General features: G+C 41.3%; 1 annotated feature.

The window, feature by feature from the left end:
* Nucleotides 6830-8029: an enhancer, noted in NCBI's record as "MED14-independent group 3 enhancer chr20:12054402-12055601 (GRCh37/hg19 assembly coordinates)". NCBI's record gives its function as "activates an origin of replication core promoter dependent on BRD2, BRD4, P300/CBP and CDK7 cofactors, and independent of MED14, by STARR-seq in HCT116 cells {active_cell/tissue: HCT116}" and the evidence as "EXISTENCE:reporter gene assay evidence [ECO:0000049][PMID:35650434]".

Here is a 9804-nt window from a genome sequence, read left to right on the forward strand (position 1 = left end):
CAGTGAGGAACACCAGATCATTGCCAATAGCCCTCTACTTCCAGATGCTGCATTTTGTGGGATAAAAATCTTTATTGGTTAAGCCACAGTGAATTGAACTTTCTGTTACTTACAGCCAAAATTACTCCTAACTGACAACAAACCATATGTTTTATGTATGTGTGTATTTATCTATTTATTGGAGACAGAGTCTTGCTCTATCCCCCAGGCTGGAGTGCAGTGGCACAATCTCAGCTCACTGCAACCTCTGCCTCCCAGGTTCACACAATTCTCATGCCTCAGACTCCCGAGTAGCTGGGATTACAGGCGTGCACCACCATGCCCAGCTAATTTTTGTATTTTTAGTAGAGACAGGGTTTTGCCATGTTGGCCAGGCTGGTCTCGAACTCCTGGCCTGAGGTGATATGCCTGCCTCGGCTTCCCAAACTGCTGGGTTTACAGGTGTGAGCCATTATGCCTGGTCCCCATATGTATAATTTAAACAATATATATAGAGGCCAACCTAAACCTCCCAGACTTCATTTCATTAAGCTAGAACATAAAACAAAATTAGACAAAAAACCCCAATCACATAATTATAGCAACAGCTATGATACTACCATCTACCATGATCGTCATTGTATGAAAGAATGGGCATTTTAACCCACACAAAAAGAATTAGAAAATTTTAATTGACTAAATCTAGCATTTGAAAACATCTTTCTTCCTTATTTTGATGTAGATACGTGAAAATGTGTCAGCGATCCACAGGCCTCTTCAGACCAACATTTGGTAGCTGCTAGTAGAGACTTTACACCTTACATTCTCCCCTCAATGAGGTGTAGTTCAGGCAAATGAAGCTACTCACTTACTGAGATGTGTCTGTTTAGCTTCGATCAGCAATCATTAATAAATGAAGCCCACTTAGCATTTCACAAGTGTTTGAGCTTGACCATGTCTTTCCGGTTCACACCAGGTTTCCAAGTTTAGTCAACACATTCCTATAGAGATTCCTTTCATCAGTTGATAAACTGTTCTTGCCTGCTGTGTCCTGATATATGTGCCTATATAAGCACACATAGGCACATTGAAGCATCAGCAATGAAAAAATTAAGCAAAGGTAGAGTCACAGGAAGTGTTAGAAAAAATGACTGTGTATCTTAAAATATCCCTTACAGATGTGCTCATTGCTGAGAAATTGCTTTGCTCAAAACTAAATCCAGCCTGAATTTTTATGGTTACAAAATAATTAGTCTCTGAGTCAGGTTTTAATCCTATGTTAATGAGACCCCCTGCTGTCTTGACTCATACCTTCAAATTAGAGGTTGATCCATAATTAATAAGTCTTACAATCCCAGTACCTGAGACAAAGAGATCTTTGGGTGGCTGGGAGAAGAGCAGAGAAGTGTAGCAATGGTATTGCAATTGCATTCCTACCACATACCAAGTTGGATTGCGGTGACAGAAATGGTGTCTTTGGGCAGTAAATCCACTGGCTCAAGCTTGTTTGACAAGGGAAGTGTCTAAATGCCCCTCTCAAGTCTTAGGAAGGAGAATGGGTGCTCTCTGTCCTTAGCAAAAGCTTTTCTGCTTACAGCAACACTGGTCTGTGTCTGCACGAGATTTCCACTTAGCTTGAGAACCTTACTTTGAACTGCCTTTAACTTCTGACCAAAAAAAAGAAAAAAGCATCAGAGCAAAGAATCATTTGTTTTTTCCAGCTATTTTTGAAACTCTGTGACTTCTCCACTTGGTAGTTTTATAGCCTCGAAATTTCCAGTGATCGGAGGAAAGAAACCCTTGCTGATTAATTACAATCTAATTTTCTATTCTCTCATAATTGCAGCAGTAGAGGAAAAAAAAGTGAGACTTATTATTCCAAAAATGAAAATGATCCCTGGACTGTTTGGGCTTATTATGAGCTCCGTGTTACAATTTATTTTAAATTGAATCAATAGAATAAACATGGAAATGAGCTCTGTGAAATCATTTATTTTTAAAGGATCCAAATATGCTGCACCATTTTGTTAAAAATTTTCCAGACTCTACCTGCATAGACTTCTTGATGAAAACAAAGGGAAAAGAGGGCTTCAGTTTAGATCTGGGACAATCTTACAGGTCTTCCTGTGCATAGTTCCATGACCATGATTTCTGACCCTCTTTAAAACACCACAGTAGATCCTCTCTTTTTTCAAGAGAGGACCTGAAATTCTCAAAAAAAACAAAAACAAAAACAAAACTCAAAATTAATTTGTTTACTTTGAATTTTTAGTCTTTGTATAACACTGGAGAACTTGGATGGCTGAACTGAGACATGCAGGAAAGTATTAGAGAGGCTGGATTTCCTGTCTCCTAATTTGGTTCAGAGCTTTTGGGCTGGGGTGTGAAGGGTGTCCATATGAGAGGTGGTTACCCGGCACTTTGGGATTAGAGCTGGCTCTCCTTGTGCAATTACCTGGTTCACTGCTTCTAATAGGAAGGACGGGTTGATTTTTGCCTCTTCACTTTCCGCTGAGTCTTCATGTAATCCACAAAGGTTTATAGCTTTTAGTTGTGTGTGGGAGTCGGGGGCGGGCCGGGGAATGGGAGATGGTTAGTGGTGGATACCATGGGAATTTTAGATATCTACCTTGTGAACGTCCTGCTTAAATGGGTGAAGTACAATATAGCACTGATTGTAAAAAGTAGGTTATGAAATTTTATATACTTATGGGGTTTCTTGTGTGTTTTATTTTTATGTATAAAAGCACATATGTTTTAAGTAGACAAAAATAGGCAATGTATCGATAATACATATTTTATATAAATGATGCTATGTATGTATATATGTACATTTTTATTTCAAGAGCTCTCTTACATATGTATATATTACACGTATGAATGTTTTATATGTACTATATATAGTATCAGTATATATTCCTAAATAATATAAACCATAAATATGTATATATATTTACATATTTATATGCGTAACATATGTATATGCATGTGGGTATATGTATATTTGTAGAAATATTTCTTACTATACAAATATATATAGTTATATGTGTATCTTTGGCAGGATATAAAATATATACCAAAATATCAAATGTATAGAGTGGTCATTTCTGAGAAGTAGGATTGTGGATAATTTTTATTTTCTATGTGTGTTTCCATATTTTATAAATATTCTATGAATATAAAGCATCACAGTGCAAGCACAGAAAAACTGTTAAAGGAAAATGAGATGAAATGCCTTCCTGCAAATCATGCAAGTCCTCAGGAAAATTGTTTTCCTGCTCTGGTGAGTGAGGGTTCCTAATTCTCTGCTTATGAGTCCTTGTCTTCATCTCAGATTGTGGTCTGCATCCCCTGGGCATACAGTCTACAGGCTCCATGGGTTTCCATGGTCCTAGGATTGCTCCCTCTCCCCCTTTCCTTCTCTTGGCATGAAGAAGCTCACTCATCTGATACCATCACAAAGAACCCCCAGATCCCTCAAATGTTCCTGTTCCCTGTGTTCACTGATGCTGCTACAATTTTGTCACATGCATGTGTTATTTCCCTCAATCTTTCAAGGCAGACAAGGGGAAAACAAAGCTGTAATATTAGTGAGGCACAAGTTCTAGACTGGTATTCTCATATCCATGACAACTGACAGGGCTTTTCATAACACAGATCTCTGGGTCCCACCCCTGCAGAGATTCTGACTCAGTAGGTCTGACTGGGCCCTAAAGAACGGCATTGTTAACAAGCCCCCAGATGCTACTGATGTTGTTGGTCCTTAGACCACATTTTGAGGAGCAAAGTCTAATGGTTTTTAAAGCATGAACCCCATACCAGCAGCATCAGGAATACCAATGAATTTTCTAGAATCACAGACTTTCAGATTCTATTCCAGAGGTGTTGTATGCCTACCATATACCAAGTGGATCCTTATCATCAGTTTGGTGACAGAAAAATCTGTATTTTAGCAAGATTCCCAGGATATTCAAGTGCACGTAGAAGATGGAGAAACACCAGAATAGACACCAGGAAGAAGGCAGGTGCATCTAAAAGAAACGAAGAGGCACACTGACCTGAAAGAGCCTGGCTGCCCCCCTCCCTTAGGTACCTGATTAAAGTCACTGTGTCCTAAATCTGAGAATCAGCACCAGGAAGAAAAGATGAATTTCTCAGGGGTAAAGAGGCAAGTTCCTAGGACTGAGGCATAAAATCAGAATGCCAGTATATTCATTTATAATGAAAAGCAAAACAGGTGAGAGATGTGCAATGGCTGGAGGAATCTCCCTGGGAAGGCAGGCAACAGTGAAAATCCAATCAGACCCAGCAAGTGACCGGGTGAGCAGAGAGCAAGACCCCCAGGAGTCCAGGGCAAGGTTCTGAAGTTCAAGGGCTCTAGCAGTGAGAGCCTTATCCACAAGACCAAGACTCTTCGGAGGCCAGCCCATGGCATCTTCTCTCCTGTGCCCTGTCTGAATGGTGTCAGGCGGTCTCCTTGGTCTGCCTTTGTTACTCCTCTTTCCAGGACTGAACAAACCATTTCCCATCAAGATGTTCTTTTTTTTTTTTTTTTTTTTTTTTTTGAGACGGAGTCTCGCTCTGTCGCCCAGGCTGGAGGGCAGTGGCGGGATCTCGGCTCACTGCAAGCTCCGCCTCCCGGGTTCACGCCATTCTCCTGCCTCAGCCTCCCAAGTAGCTGGGACTACAGGCGCCCGCCACTACGCCCGGCTAATTTTTTGTATTTTTAGTAGAGACGGGGTTTCACCTTTTTAGCCGGGATGGTCTCGATCTCCTGACCTCGTGATCCGCCCGCCTCGGCCTCCCAAAGTGCTGGGATTACAGGCGTGAGCCACCGCGCCCGGCCCAAGATGTTCTTTAGAGAGGCAACTGCTTCAATTAGGCCACCCGTTATGCTCTGTGGATGTTGTGTATTTCTGCTTTCTTTGTTCACTTAAAAGTTGAACTATTAGTGGAAAATCCCCTTTCTTTTATTTCAAAGTTCCCTGGGTTTATCACAGAGCAGGATTCACAAGATTCTCACAGATTGTTCTGTGATGTTTTCAGCATTTTCTTTTCCTTACTCAAAACAAATCGATAGACTAGGAATGATGATCCCCATTTTCTCAAGTGAACGATTGAGAATAAAGGAGTTGTTATCAGTTGAATTGCGTCTCCAAAACTGATATGTTGAATGATGTGTATCTAACACCTGATACCTGTGAATCATTTGGAAATAGGGCCTTTGGAGAGGTAATGAAGTTAAGATGAGTTCATATGAGTGGGCTCTAATCCATTGTGACAGGTGTTTTTATAAGAAGAGGAAAATGCTGTGAGGAGACAGAGACACACAGGACCAACGCCATGTGAGGTCAGAGGCAGAGGCTGGAGGGATGCAGCTTTAAGCTAAGGAATGCCGAGGACTGAGGCCACCATCAGAAGCTGGAAAGAGGCAAGGAAAGATTCTACCCCAAGTCTCAAAGGCAGGCTGTTCCTGCTGACGCCATGACTTTGAACTTCTAGCCTCCAGAACTGTGAAACAAACATATCTCTGCTGTTATAAACCACCCAGTTTGTGGTACTTTGTTTTAGCAGCCACAGGAAACTAAGAGAGAGATTTGTTTGTTTTAATTGCATCATAGGTTATCCAAGTTGGTGATAGAGACAGACGCTGGTGGGCCCCCACCCCCAGATCCCCTTGGTCCTCACCATATCAGCATACACTGATGGCATCAGCCTGCAGACACCTGCTCTTCTATACCCGAGGGCTTTCTCTTGGCCCAAGAAGTGAGAAGTTTGAAAGTGCTGAGAAGTCAACATCTCCAGGAGCAGCCTTCAGCCAACAATGGATGGAAGCTGGAGGATAAATACACCAGCTTTATTCCTGCAAGTGAGGCCTCACTGAAGTGTGTTCCAATCCATCTCCCGGAGGTCCCAAGTGGCCTTGAGCCTCTGCTGTCCACACTGGTGATCTGTTCACAACTCGCCCCACGTTGACTTCCTCTCCTTCCCTGCTCCCCAGTGGTGTTTCCTAGGACCATCTGCAAATAAACCCCTGCTGCTCTGCCTTAAAGAATCTTCTGGGGAAACCCAGCCAAAAGCAGACCTAAGACTGACTCACACCTAAGGCTGTGTTCCTTCCACTCTAGCACTTTTAGGAGATACTAAATGCCATTTTTATTCTTTGGTATTTTCTCAAACAATGCGCATATAATCAACAAAACATGTAACCACAGACTTTAAAATGCATTCCTTTGTGCTCCCATAGGTTTTGTTATAAACTTCCCAGGAGGCCGGAGGTGAGGTGGGGCTGCTGATGCAGTGTATCATGGTGAAGCTGTATTTTAGTGTCAAATACATGTCAGGCCCATACTGAATGCCTTATGCACACTATATTATTAAATCCCCGATAAGTCTTTGTATTATGGTTAGTCTTGTGTAGGTTGTCCTTTGACATAGAGCAAAACTCTTTGAGGTCAAGCATCATGTCCAACCCATTAAAATAGACTGAAAAAACTCCCATTAACACAACAGTGTTTGGAGAAGTGAGGGGCAGGATGGTGGTGTGCCTTCAAGGCATTCCCTGTCTTCCTTGTACACCCACAGTGCTTTGTGCTTCTTAAATGTTCAATGAATATGTGATAGGATTGAATGATGGGCAAACAAGAAAAATCCAGCCTAGTGGAGCCTCAAGCTAACACAATTTGGGAGCCTTTGTTATTATGATAAAATATTTATAACATAGTATGTATTATTTTAACCATTTTAAGTGTAAGATTCAGTGGCAGTAAGTATACATGGGCTGGGCCCTGCGGCTCACACCTATATTCCCAACACTTTGGGAGGCCAAGGCAGGAGGATCCCTTGAGCTTAGAAGTTTGAGACCAGCCTGGGCAACATAGTGAGACCTCGTCTCTACAAAAAATTTTAAAGATAAATTAGCCAAGCATGGTGGTGCATGGCCTGTAGTCCTACCTACACAGAAGGCTGAGGCAGGAGGCTGAGGTGGAAGAATAATTTGACCACAGAAAATCAAGGCTGTAGTGAGCTATGATCCTGCCACTTCATTCCACCCTGGGCAACAGAGTGAGACCCTGTCTCAAAAACAAACAAACAAACAAAAACAAAGAAAAGAAAAAATCAGTTTACGTAACAATGTTGTATGACTGTCACCTCTATTTCCAGAACATTTTAATGACCCCAAACAGAAACTTTGTAACTATAAAGCAATCACTCCATTCTGCAATCTCCCTAGCCCCTGATAACTTCTAACTTACTTTCTGTTCCTATGAATTTACCAATTCTGTCCAGTGTAAGTTAGCACAATGTTTTCCAGGTTCATCCATGTGGTATCATATATCAGAACCTCATTCCTTTTAAAAGCTGAATAACATTCCATTGTAAGTACAGACTACATTTCATCTATCCATTCTTCTGTCTGTGGACATTTGGCTTGTTTCTACCATTTAACTTGTGAAGAATGCTCTTGTGAACATTGATGTATAAGTATTTGTCTGCGTTCCTGTTTTCAACTCTTTGGGGCATATAGGAGTAGAATCACTGGATCACATGGTGATTATTTCCTGTTTAACTTTTTAGAGAACTACCAAACTGTTTTGCATGGTGGTTACGCCATTTTATGTAAAATTTAGCCTGGGAGCTGGAGGGGGAGAGTTTCAAGTTAAGAATTTAAAAATATCTTACCTTTACGTATTACAAAAATACATTCTGCCATCTTCAGATGATGATGTCTGCCCTCTTGTTCACAAGATGGCTGCCTCCGTATTGTGTGAATATGTTGTCGAGGCTCTTCCTCAGAACCTGTGCCAGTGAGAAGCCTTGAGCTTCAGCTTCATTGGCTTCTTGATAAATCCATCTCTGTGGATTTACATCTAAGAACAACTTCTCGTCATTTGCTGAAAATCACTGAAGTTCGAATCTTACAAATAAGATGAAAAAGGGAAGAGCTACTTTGTAAATACTTCTGGGGACCAACATGCTGCTGAGGTTTTAAGATTTCAGCCTGTCTCCTGGTGATGTTTGGGTGAACATCTTCCCTTGACAGACTGTTTCTCAGTATCACCTTAGACTCAGTCAGGAAGAGCCCCTACAAAAAGCCACATGCATTTGAAGGCCTCTCTCCTGCTGTGTTTCAAAGTTCCAAGCTGTTTTGTTCAGGCTGTTCTTCAGGTGCCCAGGACTCTGACATTTCTTTCTAATGGGCCATGATTTGGTTTCAGAGCCATGTGTGCCTTTTCCCCGGTCCATCCTTCCACAGCTCTGCATACCTTGGTGTCCACAGGGGAGCCGAGTATGTCTATTGGAAGTATGGGAGAATTGGATGACATTTGAACTTGCAGGCTAAAGTGTCTGAATATGTTCTCTCAAGACATCTCACAGGTAGGACAGAGCTGGGGAATGGGAAGGGAAGATGCCCACCCATGGATCAGGGACTGGAACTAGGATCTTCTTGTATCACCATGTTCCAGCACAATGCCCCAAAAGGAGTTCAAACACTCAAAATTGCAATTTGTCTTCTCAGGTTGTTATGATGGCATACTATTTTCCAAGGCATGAGGACAGAACACATTTAACTTAGCAGTTTATACCTTAATTTTTAACTGGTAAATATTTAGTATGTGATTTGCGGGTCATTGTTCCTAGCTTGCTCTGGGTCCCACAAGTGTTAGGAATGGTCCTGCTGTTTCCTTCTCATCTGTAGTTTGCTAAATTCAAATTCATCCATCCAAATACCTGAATAAACGCTGATCAAATTCATCAAGAGGGTTATTATTTATTTAAGAATCTTGTTGTCAGGTAGTCTCAGGATTGGTTGGGAAACTCAAGAAAGCAATGACAGCTTGGCACTTTCTTCCCTTCTCATCTGTCTTCTTCAAAATGAGAGATGTCTGTCCTCATGCACGCAAGATGGCGGCCTCAGCTCCAACCATCACATTGTCACAGACATTGCCCTGAGAAAGACAAAGGGCATCAGGAAGGCTTTCTTTTTTCTGGTAGTACTCTTCAGTGTGGAAAATCTTACCCAAATGCCCCAGCAGAATTCTTCTTCCATCTTATTGGCCATAAGTAGTTACATTATCTACTTCTACTCAAATCACAGCCAAACAGAATGAGTTATTTGATTTGCTTAGACCATTTGGAAATTGTCATTTGGAAGTTGCACACATTGCCTCCTGAAAATAAGAGAAATATCAGGTTGCTCTCAGTAAAAAGGAAGGGAGAACTTGCTTTAGGCTGGGAAGCCATAGCAACAGACAGACAGAGGAGTTACTTTCCTTAGAATTATAAAGGAGGATTAGTAATTAGGAAGCAAAGAAGAAAAGGGAATTTGTCACTGGATAGAAAAGGCAGCCACAGATAAGCTTGTAATAAGCAGATGGTGAGAAGAAAATGTTCAAATGAAGTTCTGTGGGCCTTCATTATAAATGGTGAATGATTAATTATGTTGCGTTTCATTAAATTTATGAGTCGTATTTGTTATACAACACATCACTAATAAATAATGGCTGATGGATTATTATTGCTGTTCTCCATCACTATGGAGAACATGATGTCTTTTCACCAGAATTAACTGTTGCCAGGAGAAAAATCAACCCTAAAGCCTTCATTGCTCGTGAAACAAAATGACTTAATCAGCTCATCCTAGAAATGAAAGAGATCTGGAGCCACCATTTAAAATCCTGACAAAGCATTCAACTCCTGACATTCCAAGGAGAAGCATCTGGGTTTGATTTTCTTTTGTCTTATCCCAGGGACAAGCATAGATGTAGGAAAAGTGCGCACATGTCAACAACGTGCCATACATCTGACAGCTGCTCAAGTGCT

Source organism: Homo sapiens, chromosome 20, assembly GCF_000001405.40.
Source record: "Homo sapiens chromosome 20, GRCh38.p14 Primary Assembly".
In the NCBI taxonomy this organism is placed as follows: domain Eukaryota; kingdom Metazoa; phylum Chordata; class Mammalia; order Primates; family Hominidae; genus Homo; species Homo sapiens.